Source organism: Homo sapiens, chromosome 1 (genome assembly GCF_000001405.40).
Source record: "Homo sapiens chromosome 1, GRCh38.p14 Primary Assembly".
NCBI classification, from domain to species: domain Eukaryota; kingdom Metazoa; phylum Chordata; class Mammalia; order Primates; family Hominidae; genus Homo; species Homo sapiens.
The window spans coordinates 39,602,796-39,621,824 of NC_000001.11; the positions used below are offsets into that span (position 1 = coordinate 39,602,796).

Consider the following 19,029-nt stretch of genomic DNA (forward strand, 5'->3'; position numbering starts at 1 on the left):
TCCATTTACCTACTAAAGGACATCTTAGTTGCTTCTAAGTTTTGACAATTATGAATAAAACTGCTATAATCATCCATGCACAGGTTTTCTGGGCGGATATGTTTTTAACTCATTTGGTTAAATATTAAAAAGCATGACTGCTGTGTTGTATGGTAAGAGTATGTTTAGTTTTGTATTCCTTTACATTTAAAAATGTTTCATAGTTTTCTGAGAAAACATCTAGCCATCTTTTGTTATATGTATATTTTGTATATTGATCAATGCAGATCAATATGTTACATGTATATTCCTAGGTGCCTTATAATTTTTGTTGCTATTGGAAATGCATTATAAATAATACATTCTTTCTTTTTTTTTTTTTTTGAGACAGATTCTCACTCTGTCGCCAGGCTGGAGTGCAGTGGTGTGATCTCGGCTCACTGCAACCTCTGCCTTCCAGGTACAAGTGATTCTGCTGCCTCAGCCTCCCGAGTAGGTGGGACTACAGGTGTGTGCCACAACGCTCACCTAATTTTTGTATTTTTAGTAGAAACGGGGTTTCACCATGTTGGCCAAGATGGTCTTGATCTCTTGACCTCGTGATCCACCCACCTCGGCCTCCCAAAGTGCTGGGATTACAGGCGTGAGCCACCCCACCCAGCTTTTTTTTGCTTTTTTTTTTTTGAGATGGAGTCTTGCTCTGTCCCCCAGGCTGGAGTGCAGGGGAGCCATCTCGGCTCACTGCAACCTCCGCTGCCCGGGTTCAGGCGATTCTCCTGCCTCAGCCTCCTGAGTAGCTGGGATTACAGGCAAGCACCACCACACCTGGCTAATTTTTGTATTTTTAGCAGAGACAGGGTTTCTCTATGTTGGCCAGGGTGGTCTCAAACTCCTGACCTCGGTGATCCACCCACCTCAGCCTCCCAAAGTGTTGGGATTACAGGTGTGAGCCTCCAAGCCCAGCCACATTGAGAGGTGAAGCCACCTGGACTTCTGGGTTGGGTGGGGACTTGGAGAACTTTTCTGTCTTACAAGAAAATTGTAAAATGCACCAACTGGCACTCTGTAGCTAGGATTGAAAAATGCACCAATCAGCGCTCTGTGGCTAGCTAGAGGTTTGTAAAATGCGCCAATCAGCACACTGTAAAATGGACCAATCAGTGCTCTGTAAAATGAACCCATCAGCAGGACATGGGTGGGGACAAATAAGGGAATAAAAGCTGGCCACCCCCCCCCACCCCAGCCAGCCACCACAACCGGCTTGGGTCCCCTTCCAAGCTGTGGAAGCTTTGTTCTTTCACTTTTCATAATAAAACTCGCTGGTGCTTACTCTTTGGGCCCGTGCCATCTTTAAGAGCTGTAACACTCACCGGGAAGGTCCACAGCTTCATTCTTGAAGTCAGTGAGACCAAGAACCCACCAGAAGGAACCGACTCTGGACACAATATGTTCTTATTTGTTGTTACTCCAATAAGCAATTAACAAGAGTGCTGTCAGAATGTGTGGGATGATCTTGTATTCAACTAACCTGTCAAATACTCTTATCAATTCTAATGCTCTGCATGTAGATTTTTATTTTCCAAATAGAAAATGAATCATGCATATAAGAATGGTGTTACCTCTTCCTACTTCCTAAGCCTCTGATTTCTATTATATTTATTACATTAGCTAGAAATGCCCATCAAATTTTGAATAAAGGGCATTCATATTTTTAACTTTTATGGGAATGCTAGAGTTTCACCGTTGAATTTGATGTTTAGGAATTTGGCAAATATCCTTTATAGGGTTAAGGTATTATCCTACTAATCCTAATTTGCTAAGATTTGAAAAATGAATGAATTCATCAAATGATTATTTATTTAAGTGATTATATACTTTTTATCTTTTAATGTATTAAGGTTCAGAACAGGAATTCTTTCCCTGTTGTTAACCTATCCTTGCATTTTTGGCTAAACTCTACTACATATTTGCTTCTAATTTAGATGTCATATGGATTCTGTTTTATTATTTAGGATGTTTGTATCTATAACCGTAACTAAGCTTGTTCTAAAATGTTCTTACCTTTAATTGCCCTGTCGTGGGCTGATGACAAGGGCATACTAGTATTACAAAACAAGTTAGGCAGTTTTCCCTTCTTTTCCACCCAGTAAAAACAGTTTGTATAAAACAGAATGTATTAGTCAGGGCTCGGCGTGGTGGCTTACGCCTGTAATCCCAGCATTTTGGGAGGCCGAGGCGGGCAGATCATTTGAGGTCAGGAATTTGAGACCAGCCTGGCCAACGTGGTGAAACCCCATCAATACCAAAAATACAAAAATTAGTTGGGTGTGATGGCACATGCTTTTAGTCCCAGCTACTTTGGAAGCTGAGGCACGAGATTCTCTTGATCCCGGGAGGCGGAGGTTGCAGTGAGCCGAGATAGCGCCACTGGACTCCAGCCTGGGTGACAGAGCAAGAGCCTGTCTCGAAAAAAAAAAAAATGTATTAGGGCTCTCCAGAGAAACAGAACCAACAGGACTTATTTTTATTTATTTATTTTTTTTTTGAGATGGAGTCTCGCTCTGTCGCCCAGGCTGGAGTTCAGTGGCACAATCTTGGCTCACTGCAATCTCCACCTCCCGGGTTCAAGCGATTCTCTTGCCTCAGCCTCCCGAGTAGCTGGGACTACAGGCGCCTGCCACCAGGCCCAGCTAATTTTTGTATTTTTAGTAGAGACTGGGTTTCATCATATTGCCCAGGCTGGTCTTGAACTCGTGACCTTGTCATCCGCCCACCTTGGCCTCCCAAAGTGCTGGGATTACAAGCGTGAGCCACTGCACCCGGCCAGGACCCATTTATTTATTATGAGAAACTGGCTTATGTGATTATGAAGGTTGAGAAGTCCCAAGATCTGCAGTTAGCAAGCTGGAGACCCAGGAGAGCCAATGTGTGTTCCAGTCTGAAAGTCTACTGGCTTGAGATCCAAGAAAAGCCAATGTTTCAGTTCAAATCTATAGAATGGAAAAGACCCATGTCCCAGCTCATACGGTCAGGCAGGAGACATTGCCTCTTACTTGAGGGAGGGGTGGCCTTTTTGTTCTATTCAGGTCTGACTGGATGAGGGCCACCCACATGGGGGCATGCAGTTTGCTTTATTCAGTCAAGTGTTAATCCCATCCAAAAACAGCCTCACAGATACACTCACAATGTTTGACCAAATAAACCGAGCAGTCCATGACTCAGTCAAGTTGACACATAAAATGAATCACATAGTGAGAATATATTCTTTGAAGGTCTGGACAACTGAGCTGTGAGTCCCAACAAGCCTGTTATCCTTTGCTCATTTGTTTGGGTGTGGAAGTGTGGGTGACGTATTTTTCATCAGGGTAATTCCCCTGGAGCCATTCTCTCCTACAAGGGCCTACATGGGATGATCCTCCCTGGCTCCTTTGGAGAAACCCTGATCTTAGTCCTTGAAGACTAACAGCATCCAGGAGACTAAAAAACGATGGGCTGTTTTATCTGTAGAAACTACTAGCCTTTGGGCGACACCATTTGGGGAGTTTGTATTTATCATAGCAGTTATGCCGTTATTCCAACTGACCACTAGAGGGCAGTAATGGCTTATAAAACCGGATCCAGTGTGACAAAAGGGCTTTAAAGAAGCTAACGTATGGTGGATTAAAAGGTAGATTTTTGCCTGTAATCCCAGCACTTTGGGAGGCCGAGGCGGGCGGATCACGAGGTCAGGAGATCGAGACCATCCCGGCTAAAACGGTGAAACCCCGTCTCTACTAAAAATACAAAAAATTAGCCGGGCGTAGTGGCGGGCGCCTGTAGTCCCAGCTACTTGGGAGGCTGAGGCAGGAGAATGGCGTGAACCCGGGAGGCGGAGCTTGCAGTGAGCCGAGATCGAGCCAGTGCACTCCAGCCTGGGCGACAGAGCGAGACTCCGTCTCAAAAAAAAAAAAAAAAAAGGTAGATTTTTTTTTTTTTTTTTTGCCCGGGCGTGGTGACTCATGCCTGTAATCCCACCACTTTGGGAGGCCGAGGCGGGCAGATCACCTGAGCTCAGGAGTTTGAGACCAGCCTGGCTAACATGGCGAAACCTCGTCTCTATTAAAAATACAACAATTACCCAGGCATGATGGTGGGCACCTGTAATACCCAGCTACTCGGGAGACCGAGACCGGAGAACGTTTTGAACCCGGGAGGCAGAGGTTGCAGTGAGCCGAGATCACGCCCCTTCACTCCAGCCTGGGCGACAGAGCAAGACTCCGTCTCAAATGAAAAAAAAAAAAAAAAGAAAAAAAAAGGTCGATTTTTTTCCCCCTTCTCTGTCCTTAGGAACTTCAGACTTCAAGAATCTAAGAAACTTGGTCGGGCACGGTGGCTCATGCCTGTAATCCCAGCACTTTGGGAGGCCGAGGTGGGCGGATCACGAGGTCAGAAGATCGAGACCATCCTGGCTAACATGGTGAAACCCCATCTCTACTAAAAACACACAAAAAATTAGCCAGGCATGGTGGCAGGCGCCTGTACTCCCAGCTACTCGGGAGGCTGAAGCAGGAGAATGGCGTGAACCGGGAAAGCGGAAGTTGCAGTGAGCCGAGATTGCACCAACGCACTCCAGCCTGGGCCACAGAACAAGACTCCGTCTCAAAAAAAAAAAAAAAAAAAAAAAAAATCTAAGAAACTTGTTCAGGCCAGGTGTGGTGGCTCATGCTTGTAATCTTAGCACTTTGGGAGGCCGAGGTGGGAGGATTGCTTGAGCCCAGAAATTTGAGACCAGCCTGGCCAACATAGGGAGACCCCATCTCTACAAAAAAATAAAATTAGCTGGGCCTCCTGGCGCGCACACTTGTAGTCCCAGCTATTCAGGAGGCTGAGGCAGGAGGATCTCTTGAGCTCTGGAGGTGAAGGCTGCAGTGAGCCGAGATCATGCCACTGCACTCCCACTCCATCCTGGGCAACAGAGTGAGACCTTGTGTGAAAAAATAAAAATTAAAGAGAGAGAGAAAAGAAAGTTGTCCAAATCATATATTCCAGTACACAGCAAATCTGGAATGTTAACCTAGGTTTTTCTGACTCCAAATTTCATGGTTTCTGGTGTGGGTACAAATCAATTATTCTTCTTTCATTCTTTTTAAAAAAAATTTGGCCGGGCGCGGTGGCTCACGCCCGTAATCCCAGCACTTCGGGCAGTCGAAGCAGGCGGATCACGAGGTCAGGATATCAAGACCATCCTGGCTAACATGGTGAAACCCCATCTCTACTAAAAAATACAAAAAATTAGCCGGGCGTGGTGGCTGGAGCCTGTAGTCCCAGCTACTCGGGAGGCTGAGGCAGGAGAATGGCGTGAACCCGGGAGCTGGAGCTTGCAGTGAGCGGAGATCGCGCCACCGCACTCTAGCCTGGGAAACAGGACAAGACTCCGTCTCAAAAAAAAAAAAAAAAATTCATTCACTCATGGAAAGCAGCATAACAGAGTGGCTAAGAATTCAGTCTCTGGAGTCAGACCATTTGGATTAAAATTCTGGCTCTTTCACATACTAGCTAGCACCATAAGTGATCTGTGCCTCAATTGTCTGATCTGTGTATGGGGATATTAGAACTTACCTTGTAAAATTATTGCAAAAATGAAATGATACATTAAAAGTGTTTAGAACAGCTGAGTGCAGTGGCTCACGCCTGTAATCCCAGCACTCTGGGAGGCCGAGGCGGGCGGATCAGTAGGTCAGGAGATCGAGACCATCCTGGCTAACACGGTGAAACCTCGTCTCTACTAAAAATACAAAAAAATTAGCCAGGCGTGGTAGCGGGCGCCTGTAGTCCCAGCTACTCTGGCAGCTGAGGCAGGAGAATGGCATGAACCCGGGAGGTGAGCTTGCAGTGAGCCGAGATCGCGCCACTGCACTCCAGCCTGGGCGACAGGGCTAAACTCCGTCTCAAAACAAAACACAAAAAGTGTTTAGAACAGCGTATGGTCCTTAATAAGTACTTAAATTCAAGCTATTATTAACTCAACCAGTATTTCTTAAGCAACTACCCTGTTCTAGTACCACTGTTCTAGGTACTGGGGTAGCAATCATACTCGTACAGAGCTTACCTGTTGGAGCTTATATTCTAGAAAGGGAGATGGACAACAAAATAAGAAAAGTTTGTATTTTTTTCCCCATGAATATGAACGAATATGGCCAAAAATAGAGCATGGAAGAGGACTGGGAGTGCTGGTGGAGGAAGGCTTGCTACCTAAATGGGGCTGTCAGAGGCAGCTGCTCTGAGGCGACATCCAGAAAAATCCAAAGGAGGTGAGGCAGCCAGCTAGGAGGCTAAGACTCATGCGCATGCGTAGGAGCAGAATATTGCGCAAAGAGGAGTGAGGATAAGGGCTGGAGGCTGGACCACACCGGCCTTCAAGAAAGGGGAAAGGGACCATGTGATGCTAATTTTATGTCGTCTTGGCTAGGCTGTGGTGCCCATGGTTTGGACAAACAAGTCTAGCTGTTGCTACGAAGGCAAACTTTGGAATGTGATTAACATTTAATTAGTAGACTTTGAGTAAAGCAGATGACCCTCTATATGGTGGGCGGGCCACTCGGTTGAAGACCTTAAGAATAATGACTACGGTCTCCCGAGGAAGGAGGATTTCTGCCTCCAGACCGCAACATCGAAATTCGACTTGAGTTTCCAGCGTTCGCGCTTGAAAATGCAACATCAACTCTTCCTGAATTTCCAGGCTGCCAACCTGCCTGCCCTGTGGATTTCAGAGTTGCCTGTCACCTGAACATCAAATGAGCCAGTTCCTTAAAATAAATCTCTCTTCTCAGGAATGCTCTAATACTGGCCACGGTCGCAGAAGGGAGGGAAGAATGGGGCGAGGACGATGAAACAGGGCCAGCGGTGAAGTGAGGTGGGGAGCCGATGGTGAGCCTGGAGCCACTGGGAGGGCGCCGGCCTTTGCACTGGTTGGGAGTCCCTGGAGGGCTCAGAGCAGAAGGGAGACTCGGTGGCCTGCAGTGTTCAAAGCGCCCTCTGGCGGCCGGGAGGAGCGGGGGCTGCAGGGACCCGGGTGATGGGAGGGAGCCTCCGGAGGAGGCGCAGGGGCGAGGGGACCTGGTGCGGGCTTGGACCTCGGCCGTGGCGCCCACGGTGAGACACGGACACTTTCTGATGTATCCTGAAGATGGAGCGGAGAGGATGTGCGGGCACTCTGGGTGCGGGCTGTGAGAGAAGAGGTGTCAGGGTCAACTCCAGGGCTTTCGGGCTGAGTAGCTGGAAGAACAGAGTTGCCATTTCCCGAGAGCAGGAAGATTTGGGGAGGAGTCTGTCCCGGAGCCGGCCGCGGGGGCAGGAGCTGGGCTTTGGACGTGTTCGTTCTGGACGCCTCTGGGCCTTGGCTGCTGATGTCCAAGCCTGCACCCTCAGGGGCCTGGGTTGCAGATGTGAATTTGGCGGCTCTGAGCCGGGCCTCGTCCCGACCACACAGGGAGGACAGCAGAGCCTGCGCGGGACCGGGGCCTGTGCTCCTCCCTCTGCTCCTGCAGCGCGGGCCTTGTCCTCAGAATTTCTCCCAGCCGCCCTGCGCCTCCCCAGGCGGGGTCTCCCACCAGGAGCACCGTCCTGGGGCCGAGGCAGCGGGGGTGACACTGACTCCTGCCCCCGTTCAGTGCATGGGGCCAGGCCCTTCAGGTCAGTGACTCACAGACAACAGGAACAAGCTTAGAAATCTTCAAACCCAGTCACCCATTAACTGGGTCCTGAGTGAGGCCCAGCAGACAGGCCTCAGTTTCTCACCAGAGCTGGCACCAGTTGGTCCAGGGAAGGCAAGTGGGTCTTGTCTCCTATGCCTCCCTTGATGAGTTAGGTTTAGCTTTGGGCAGGGATGTCTTACTGTGTTCCAGAATTGGTGGGTTCTTGGTCTTGCCGACTTCAAGAATGAAGCTGCAGACCCTCACGGCGACTGTTACAGTTTTTAAAAATAACGTGTCCAAAGTTTATTCCTTCTGATGTTCGGACGTGTTCAGAGTTTCTTCCTTCTGGTGGGTTCGTGGTCTCCCTGGCTTCAGGAGTGAAGCTGCAGACCTTTGCAGTGAGTGTTAAAACTCTTAAGGCAGTGCGCCTGAAGTTGTTCGTTCCTCCCGTTCGCAGTTGTTCATCTCTCGCAGTGGGTTTGTAGTCTCGCTGGCCTCAGGAGTGAAGCTGCAGACCTTCACCACGTTACAGTTCATAAAGGCATGCAGACCCAAAGAGTGAGCAGCAGCAAGACTTATTGCAAAGAGCAAAAGAACAAAGCATTACACATGCTGAAGAGAAACCCAAGCAGGCTGCCACTGCTGGCTTCGGCAGCCTGCGTTTATTCCCTTATCTGACCCCACCCACATCCTGCTAATTGGTCCACTTTACAGAGAGCTGATTGGTCCAGTTTACAGAGCTGATGGGCCCATTTTACAGAGCTGATGGGCCCATTTTACAGAGAGCTGATTGGTCTGTTTTGACAGGGTGCTGATTGGTGTGTTTACAAACCTTGAGCTAGACACAGAGTGCTGATTGGTGCATTTACAATCCTTTGGCTAGACACAAAAGTTATCCAAGTCCCCACTAGATTAGCTAGACACAGCACTGATTGGTGCCTTTACAAACCTTGAGCTAGACACAGAGAGCTGATTAGTGCATTTACAATCCTTCAGCTAGACACAAAAGTTCTCCAAGTCCCCACTAGATTAGCTAGACACAGAGCACTGATTGGTGCGTTACAAACCTTTAGCTAGACTCAGAGTGCTGATTGGTGCATTTACAATCTTTTAGCTAGACACAGAGTGCTGATTGGTGCATTTACAATCCTCTAGCTAGACATAAAAGTTCTCCAAGTCCCCACCAGATTAGCTAGATACAGAGTGGTGACTGGTGCATCCACAAACCCCCAGCTAGACACAGAGTGCTGATTGGTGCATATACAATCCTCCAGCTAGACATAAAAGTTCTCCAAGTCCCCACCTGACTCAGAAGCCCAGCTGGCTTTGCCTAGTGGATCCTGTGCCTGGCCGTGGGCAGAGTTGCCCACCAGTCCCGCACTGCGTGCCCGTGTGCCTGCATTACCAAGGGTGAAGGGGCAGTAATCCAAAAGCAGTGGCTGCCAGGGGGACAGGCACAGTGGGTGGCTGTTTGTACTGGATATTGGCCATTTGCAATTTACCTGCAAATCCTTGTGGGCCTGTGCTTCAAAGGGGCCATCAAGTCACTGTGCAGTGGCGGTCAGTCACCCAGCTTTCTGACATCACAAGTTGAATGAAAAGCTTTTAGTCCTGAATCAACAGGAAGAGCTCTAAAGCCTGCAAGGGGCTCTGTCTCATTCCCAGCCCAGCTATAGAAACAGGCCTCTCAGCAGCCCTTTGGGGAGAGATTCAGTGGCACAAACAGAATTTGTGCCGTGCTGAGGGCATGGCTGGCCACTGCAGCCCCACAGGTGTCTTTCTTAGTGGGCACATGATCTCAATTAACTGGGAGGACTGTGGTTTTTTTTGGTCTGTTTTGTTTTGTTGTTGTTGTTGTTGTTGTTGTTGTTGTTTGAGACAGAGTCTCGCACTGTCACCCAGGCTGGAGTGCAGTGGTGCCATCTGGGCTCACTGCAAGCTCCGCCTCCCGGGTTCACGCCATTCTCCTGCCTCAGCCTCCCCAGTAGCTGGGACTACAGGCGCCCACCACCACGCCCGACTAATTTTTTGTATTTTTAGTAGAGACAGTGTTTCACCGTGTTAGCCAGGATGGTCGCGATCTCCTGACCTCGTGATCCGCCCACCTCAGCCTCCCAAAGTGCTGGGATTACAGGCGTGAGCCACCGTGCCCGGCCTTTTTTTTCTTTGTGGAACACATCTGTAACCTTAGAAGATGAAAAATTAATTAACCTCTGTTACCGGTGATGGAACTTTCTTCCTTAGAGTGTCCTTGATGAGGATACTTATGTAACATAACCTCAGGAAGATTTAGAACTAAGACTAGCATGCTAAACCAAAAATTTAAATCTTAGCATTGGCCGGGCATGGTGGTTCACGCCTGTAATCGCAGCACTTTGGGAGGCCGAGGCAGGCGGAACTCTTGTGGTCAGGAGTTCGAGACCAGCCTGACGAACATGGTGAAGCCACGTCTCTACTAAAAATACAAAAATTACCCAGGTGTGGTGCTGCGTGCCTGTAATCCCAGTTACTGAGGAGGCTGAGGCAGAAGAATCGCTTGAACCCGGGAGGCAGAGGTTGCAGTGAGATGAGATTGCATTACTGCACTCCAGACTGGGCTACAGAGTGAGACCCCGTTCTCATAAAAAACAAAGACAAAAAACCTTAGCATTAATATTTCTGTTCAAAGAAATAATCTAGATACATTTAGGGTTTTTGTTTTGTTTTCTGTTTTTGTTTTTGAGACAGGGTCTCACTCTGTTTCCCAGGCTGGAATGCAGTAGCTGGATCTCAGCTCACTGAAACCTCTGCCTCCCCGGCTCAAGTGATCCTCCCACCTCAGCCTCCTGAGTAGATAGGATCACAGGCGTGCGCAACCATGTCTGGCTAATTTTTAAATTTTTTGTGGAGATGAGGTCTCACTATATTGCCCAGGCTGTTCTCAAACTCCTGGGCTCAGGCAATCAGCCTCAGCCTCCCAAAGTCCTGGGATTACAAGTGTGAGTCACAGTGCCCAGCCCTAGTTTTTTAGATAAACAGATTTTTGAGAGAACTTAAGATTCATCCTATTTATAACTTGGATTTACTTGATGTATAAGAATGATTTAAATCTTCAGGAAGGTTTTGTTTATACAGATAACTGAGCGTCCTGTGTGGGAGCCGCGGGAGCTGCGTGAGGGGAGAAGAAAAGGCACACACACAATACCTTTAAGGGTAAACAAGCTTTATCCCACGTAAATGGCAATGCAGATATAATAAGCAAATGATATAATAAGGAAATTAATATAATAAGCAAATTGATATAAGTAAATGACATAATAAGCAAATTGCAATGGGAAGGGGAGAAGGGAAAAGAGATATACACATATTTACACTCACCAGACTATGGAGGATTCACCACCAGACTGGGAAGCAACAGCCTGGGCTCCAGAGTCGGCCACTCATCCATGCACAGATGAGGAGAGGTCTCATGAAGCTTCAGCGCAGCTGGGACCCTAGCTCTTTTTGTAACGAGTTGTTTGGCATGAGGTCCGGTCACGAGGGCCCTTCATTATCGGTCTCAAGGAACACAAAAAGGTCAACTTGTTTTTGCGATTGTGTGTTGTTTTTCAATAACTAATGTATAGGAATAGATTGAAATAGAGATTCCTCCGAAACAGTGCTGGATGAACGCCTCAAGGGGCTCACACAACCTGTTCAGGGACTTGGTGACCATTGTTTGTGTCCATGTTCAGTTGAGTTCAAATTTAATATTTAACTTTTCTTCCACACTGAGATACTGAAAAAGAAAATCAAACCTATTCATTTACGTTTGAAGATATAAAGTTGTAAAAAGCCCCTTAGAAGCATTTGCTAAAATCTAGATTTTCAAACAAGGTTTGTAAGCTGAATTTTATTTATACTTTTTAAATATTTTATTATTATTAAATTTTAATTTTTTGTAGACATGGGGTCTTGATATGTTGCCCATACTGGTCTCCAGCTCCTAGCCTCAAGTAATCTTCCTGTCTCGGCTGCCTAAATTGCTGGGATTACAGGTGTGAGCCACCACGCCTGGCCAATAGGTTGAATCTTAAGGTTAAGAAAGAATTAGTAGTGTTTTGAACTAGTAACTTTAATAAATAGAAACTAATTGTTTACTCCAGAAATAAACTTCCAAATAGTCTTTTCTGTGACTGAAAACCATCCTCAGGACTCAACCCAAATATGCATCAAAAGGTGAATGGATAAACAAATTGGGATCTATCTGTACAATGGAATACTACACAGCAACGAAAAGAAAGAGCAACTCATTCACAGAACTTGATGAATTTCTAAAGCATTACACTAAGCGAAGAAAGCCAGACTCAAAAGTTTCCCTGCTGTCTAATTCCATTTATACATAGACAAAACCATGGTGGGCCAGGCGTGGTGGCTCACGCCTGTGATCCCAGCACTTTAGGAGGCCGAGGTGGGCGGATCACAAGGTCAGGAGTTCGAGACCAGCCTGGCTAACATGGTAAAACCCTGTCTCTACTAAAAATACTAAAATTAGCTGGGCATGGTGGTGTGTGCCTGTAATCCCAGCTACTGGGGAGGCTGAGGCAGGGGAATGGCTTGAACCCAGGAGGTGGAGGTTGTAGTGAGCCAAGATTGTGCCACTGCACTCTAGCCTGGGTGATAGAGTAAGACTCCGTCTCAAAGCAAAAACAAAAACAAAAACAAAAAACAACCATGGTGGCAGAAACACAGAAACCAGATCAATGCTTGAGACTGGAGGAGGTGATTGGCTGCAAAGGGTTTAGAGGGAGTTTCTGGGTGATAGAAATGCTCTATATCACAATTATGAGGTGATTGCCTGAGTGTTTACACTGGCATGACTCAGCAAATTTTACATTTAACATTGGCGAATTTTGTTGTACATAAATTACACCTCGATAACACAGATTTTTAAAAATAATACTATCCTGGAGACTACCAGAACCCTCCGTATTCAACATGAGGCATGAAACAGGACCATTTTTTTGGAGAATAATGTGGGAAAGGGGAGGGGGCTGTGAGGAGAGAGGCCAAGTAATCACAGAGTCACCATGGAAACCAGGAGAGCCAGCCGGGTGCAGAAGTAGAGTAGGTTCCCCCACTCAAAGTCACCGTGATTGAATGACTCTTTTCTTTTTCTCTCTTTTTTTTTTTTTTTTTTTTTGAGACAGAGTGTCCATCTGTCCCCCAGGCTGGACTGCAGTGGCGCAATCTCGGCTCACTGCAAGCTCCACCACCCGGGTTCACACCATTCTCTTGCCTCAGCCTCCCGAGTAGCTGGGACTACAAGTGCCCGCCACCACGCCTGGCTAATTTTTTGTATTTTTAGTAGAGACGGGGTTTCACCGTGTTAGCCACGATGGTCTCGATCTCCTGACCTCGTGATCCGCCCGCCTCGGCCTCCCTCAGTGCTGGGATTACAAGCGTGAGCCACTGCGCCAGCCTGAATGAGTCTTTTCTAGCAGGTGTAGAGCAGGAGTCAGGTTTCGCCTGGTGTATTAGTTACTGATTGCTATGTAACAATGACCGTAAACCTAGTGCTTTCAACAATGCCCATTGATTATCTTATAGCTTCTGTGGCTTAGGAGTATGGCTTGGCTTGCTTAGCTGGGTCCTTGGCTCAGTATTGCACAAGGCTACACGCAGGTTGTTGGCCAGGCTCACCTGGAGGATCCTCCAGGAGAAAAGCCACTTACTCAGGTTGAGTAACTTACTCAGGTTGTTGGTAGAATTCATATCCTTGTGCCATATGACTGGGCCCTGGCTTGGGCACCTGGTCTTTTTCTGGCTGCCAGCTGCAGGCTGCCCCTGAAGCCCTTGCGGCCACCCACAGTTCCTGCCACGGGGGCTTCTCCAACATGGCTGATTACTGCCTCCACCCAGCAAGGGCGTCTCTGCCTCCAGCCGGCTGAGTCAATTTTTTTTTCTTTTTTTTGATGGAGTCCCACTCTGTTGCCAGGCTGGAGTGCAGTGGCACGATCTCGGCTCACTGTAACCTGCGCCTCCCAGGTTCAAGCGATTCTCCTGCCTCAGCCTCCCAAGTAGCTGGGACTACAGGTGCACATCACCATGCTCAGCTAATTTTTGTATTTTTAGTAGAGACGGAGTTTCACCATGTTGGCCAGGATGGTCTCGATCTCCTGACTTGGTGATCCACCTGCGTTGGCCTCCCAAAGTGTTGGGATTACAGGCGTGAGCCAACTGCACCCGGCCCTGAGTCAGTCTTATACAAGGTAAGGCAGTCATGGGAGCAGTATCCCCTTATCTGTGCCACGTGATGCAGCTTGCTCACGGGAGTAACATCCCTCACGTTTGCCATATTCTTTTGGTTAGAAGCAAGTCATGGGTTCTGTCCGGATGCAAGGGGACCACACAAGGCATGGACATCATGGGGCAGGGGCAAGGAGCCACTCTGAAGTCTGTTCCACACCTGGTGACGGCAATGGAGGGAGAGATGGTTAAAGGAGAGAGGCTGCTTGCAAGGGGCAACGACAGAGATGAGGGTCAATGGGCCACTAGCTAGGGAGGGAGGGACGTGAAGCCAGGAATGGCTGGTAAGCGGGTGGTAAAATCAGTGGTTTGAAGACCTCCTTGAAGGGGGAGAATTTCTGCGACAAGGATCCTGAGCAGAGGAAGAGGAAGGAAGGGAAGTGGTGGCTGGAGAATGGGATGTTTGAAATCAGGATTCCTGAAATGAGTGGCTTTGAGTGATGGTGGGTTCTGTGAGGGATGATTGAGGGGGTGGGAAGGAGGTCAGTGGGACTGAGGGGTCTAATGGCCTGCCTGCCTCCACCCTATCCCATCTCAGTTGGCTCTTCCCACTGGGCCCCCAGGCCCCTCCTCACAGGGAATGCAGGTTATGAATCTCCTCTTCTCTGGACCTTCCAATGCCCTCTTGCCTGCCTCAGAGAAAATCTAAACCCTTCCCGTGACCCGCTCCCCTTCCCCCTGGTGGACTGTCTCCTGCCACTCTCTCCTGCTGTCTACACTGCAAGTCCACTCTAGGGTGGCCCTTGCTGCTCCCGGCCTGGCCTCCCTCCCCTCAGAGTCTCATGGCCCCCTCCCTCCCTGAAGTTTCTGTCCACGCTACCTTTGGCCTTCTCTGTCCATCTTATAGAAAAATACCACCTCTCCCATCACTCTCTGTCCCCTAATCTCCCTTTACCATCAAACATGGTACATATATATTTGCCTAGTGGTTTCTCATTTGTCTCCCCCAACAGGAACGCCAGCTCCATGCATCTGGGGTTCCGTTTTCTTCATTGCTGTATCCAGCACCTACAAGAGAACCTGGCACAGACTCGGTGCCCCATGAATATTACTGGATGGAGGCAGACAGAGCTGATCTCTGTGTCCTGAAGGGTTGGTGAGTTGATACTGATGAGTCAGAGGCCAAAGCCTTGTGATATAAGCCAGGAGCTGTTGAGAGGCCTGGATACCCTCTCTCAATTGTTTGGAAGGAGTGGATACAGAAGATACAGCATTTCACAGGCTGTAGAACTTGACAGCTAAGAGCTCTGACCCCTAATAGCTGTGTCTCCTTGAACAAATTAGTTGATCTTTTTGAGCCTCTGTTTCCTTATCTGTAAATTGGACACAATAATCAACTGAAACCTAAATCAGGGAGTCATGCAGATAAGCCCAGACTCTGCATGCAAAGCCCTTGGTACAGTGCCCACCTATGGTGAGTGCTTGGTAATTGCTGGGTAACATATATTATTTCTCTGTGGCTGTTTGTGATTGGATTTTCCACTATGATCCAAATAAGCTTTGCTTTTTTTTTTTTTTTTGAGATGGAATTTCGCTCTTGTTGCCCAGGCTGGAGTGCAATGGTGCGATCTTGGCTCACTGCAACCTCCGCCTCCCAGGTTCAAACGATTCTTTTGCCTCAGCCTCCTGAGTAGCTGGCATTACAGGCTCCTGCTACCATGCTCAGCTAATTTTTGTACTTTTTAGTAGAGATGGGGTTTCACCATGTTGGCCAGGCTGTTCTCAAGCTCCTGACCTCAGGTGATCCACCTGCCTCAGCCTCCCAAAGTGCTGGGAATACAGGCGTGAGCCACCATGCCTGGCCAAGCTTTGCCAATTTAAAAGAGACGAGGTCTCACTAATGTTGCCCAGGCTGGTCTTGAACTCCTGAGCTCAAGTGATCCTCCCACCTTGGCTTCCCAAAGTGGTAGGATTATAGGTGTGAGCCACCATGCCCAGCTCATTTACTGTTTTTCTGATCTAGGGCAGATCATTTTACTTGAAATAAGATTCAGTTTCCTCATCTGCATAATGGAGATAATAATTCCTGCCCTGGCTCCCTCAGTTAAACTGTTGTCAGGTGTGCATGAACTAACACATGTGAAAGCACTTTGAAATGTTAGGTTGCTGTATGATATGAGGTATTAGTATTTTTTCTTCTGGTTGATTGGGTCCTTTTAGGGTTGCTGGAGTTTTAGGCAATGGATGGTTCATTAGTTTTCTTTTTTCTTTTTTTTTTGTGTGTGTGTGTGATGGAGTTTCGCTCTTGTTGCCCAGGCTGGAGTGCAGTGGTGTGATCTTGGCTCACTGCAACCTCCGCCTTCAAGAGATTCTCCTGCTTCAGCCTCCCGAGTAGCTGGGATCACAGGTGCCCACCACCACACCCGGCTAATTTTTTGTATTTTTATTAGATATAGGGTTTTACCATGTTGGCCAGGCTAGTCTCGAACTCCTGACCTCAAGTGATCCACCCACCTCAGCCTCCCAAAGTGCTGGGATTACAGGTGTGAGCCACTGCGCCCAGTTGGTCCATTAATTTTCAGAGGCTCTAATGGAATACATGGGGTGCCCAGAATATGGGGGGTGACTATACTGGACTTCTTGGAGCAGAGCAGTGGAACCCAGATTTTGCTGAAAGCCCTGAGCAAAAGCATAGGCTTGAAATGGCCCTTGGGCTGAGGGCAGTGTAGGTCAGTCAGCCAGCTTTCTGAGCTTCAGGGGCTGAACAACAGCCTTGCTCCTTTTGATTCCCACATGAAGCAAAAAGAAAGAGTCCAGAGATCCTGGTGTCTATCTTTGGATATCCAACACCTGCCCTGTTTTCACCTGCCACTACCAAGTAATTAACGAGCGCCTCTCAGCAGCCCAATCCATGAGAGATTCAACTTTCACAAATCACCCCACAGCCCTCTGAGGTCATGGCCTTGCACCAGAGCTACAGGGCTCATTGTGTCTTGGGCAATGGGGAGGAGAAATCAGTGACAGTCAACAGGACAGGGAAGGTGTATGCATCGGCCAGTACCTCTTGCCTAGGCCAGAGCCAGGATGGTGACAGGAGCCCCTCAGGATGCCACATGGTACTCAATCCCTCCAGGTCATGCTGATCACCAGGCAGCTTGTGGCCCTTGGCCATCCTAAAGCAACAAAACTTCTTGTCTTACACTAGGTTTTCTGAGGGAGTTCTCTGGGGAGGCAAGCCCAGTACAGACACTGCTCCGCTGGGAGGCATCCAACCCACCCTTGTGGGATCAGAGTGGCAGGTGGTGCCTCTATACCTAGTTCCTCAAGCTCAAAGTAAACTGACCTCCAGGTCAATGTGTGCGTGTGTGCGCACACACCAGTGAGTAGCTTCTAATGTCCTTAATTCCCTCATTCCTCTCACTTTTTGAGCCATGAGGTAAAGGTGAGGGGAGAGAGACTATCTGCCAATATCCATTCACGTGTATTTCAAAGAACTGGCTCAAATGCATTTCCAGCCTCCTTTGCAGTTTGATGCAGCCAACTAAGTTCTCACAAGTGAAACATGGCTGGAGGGAGATGTGCTCCTTCTGAGTGTTTAGGACTGTGGTCAAGGCTGAGTGTGGTGGCTCACGCCTATAATCCCCTCACTTTGGGAGGCCAAGGTGGGAGCATCACTTGAGTCTAGGAGCTCAAGACCAGCCTGGGCAACATAGGGAGGCCCTGTCTCTACAGAAACTAAAAAAGTAGCCAGGTGTGGTGGTGCACACCTGTGGTCCCAGCTACTTGGGAGGCTGGGTATTCCTTGGGCCTGGGAGGTCGAGGCAATAGTGAACCAAGATCCAGTGAACCAAGATCCAGCCACTGCACTCCAGCATGGGCAACCAAGCAAGATTCTGTCTCAAAAATAAGTAAATAAATAAAAAATAAAAAAGACGGTGGTCATGTCTCTACCAGGCTCTCTTCCCTTTCCTGTTGGCTTGAACTTGTGGACACCTAGCTGCAGCCTTGTAGGCACAACAGTGCCCTAGTGGGTGGTGAGGGATCAAGACAGAAGGAATCCGGGTCTCAGGATGTCTGTGTTGAATGGAGCTTCCTGCTGACTTGGAAAGTTCACCAGGCAGTTACATGGGAGACAAATAAACTTCCATCTTCTTTCATCCACAGAATGATTGCTAGGCCTCTTTGTTATAGAGGCTGAGCCTTACCCTTCCTTACTAAGCACAGGGGAGAAGAGCATGGCAGAACCAAAGGCTTCCCAGGCTAACACAGCAGTCCAGCCCCCAGGCCTGCATGGCTGCCATGGAACATCGCCAGGATTGCATCCCAAGGGGAAGCCTGGGAAGGAAGCAGTGTCCTGTATTGGCTAAGACTGAATCAGACAGGCCTAGGTCTTAATTTTGGCTGGAATATTTATTAGTGTTGTGAACTTTGGGCACTTTCACTAACAAATTGAGTCTCAGTTTCCTCTTCTGTAAAATGGTGATGATAGCGGTAGTTACTCACAGAGCTATGTGAGAATTTTATGAGACAGTGTAGATCAATGGCTCACAAATGTTTACTGTTATTAATGGGATCAGCTAATAGACCTGATTTTTCCTACTGTCTCTCTCCAGGAAGGAGGGAAGGAGGCTAATGTCTTGAGTTTTCCACAAAGTCATAAATATTCAGTGCTAGTAAATTACAAGTTCCTAAGGCTTTCAGCACACCTAATATTTCTTAGGCACCTACTATGGGCCAGGCACTATGAGAGGGACCAGGGGACAGAGAGGCCCCTGTGGAAATTAATTTCTGCATTGCTCCTCAGAAAGCATTAGCTTTCTCCAGGCCTACAGGTTCGAGTCCAGTCACCTACTGAATGCCAATCTACCTCAGCTTGGAAAGAAATCCCAACCCTTCTTCCCGCCTCCTGATGAGGTGCCTGGGCCCCACCCCACGCAAGTTAAATCATAATCTCTGGGGCCTGGGTACCGATATTTTTATTTATTTATTTTTTGTTATATTTATTTATTATTATTTTTGAGACAGAGTCTCGCTCTGTCGCCCAGGCTGGAGTGCAGTGGTGCGATCTCGGCTCATTGCAACCTCTGCCTCCTGGGTTCAAGCGATTCTTCTGCCTCAGCCTCCTGCGTAGCTGGGACTACAGGTTCACACCACCATGCCCAGCTACTTT

General features: G+C 48.1%; 3 annotated features.

The window, feature by feature from the left end:
- Positions 7,342–7,511: an enhancer, noted in NCBI's record as "experimental_7951 CRE fragment used in MPRA reporter constructs". NCBI's record gives its function as "activates a minimal promoter by MPRAs in K562 erythroleukemia cells, with activity observed for both the introgressed and non-introgressed 1:40075894 variant alleles {active_cell/tissue: K562}" and the evidence as "EXISTENCE:reporter gene assay evidence [ECO:0000049][PMID:34662402]".
- Positions 8,985–9,154: an enhancer, noted in NCBI's record as "experimental_7954 CRE fragment used in MPRA reporter constructs". NCBI's record gives its function as "activates a minimal promoter by MPRAs in K562 erythroleukemia cells, with activity observed for both the introgressed and non-introgressed 1:40077537 variant alleles {active_cell/tissue: K562}" and the evidence as "EXISTENCE:reporter gene assay evidence [ECO:0000049][PMID:34662402]".
- Positions 10,694–10,863: an enhancer, noted in NCBI's record as "experimental_7957 CRE fragment used in MPRA reporter constructs". NCBI's record gives its function as "activates a minimal promoter by MPRAs in K562 erythroleukemia cells, with activity observed for both the introgressed and non-introgressed 1:40079246 variant alleles {active_cell/tissue: K562}" and the evidence as "EXISTENCE:reporter gene assay evidence [ECO:0000049][PMID:34662402]".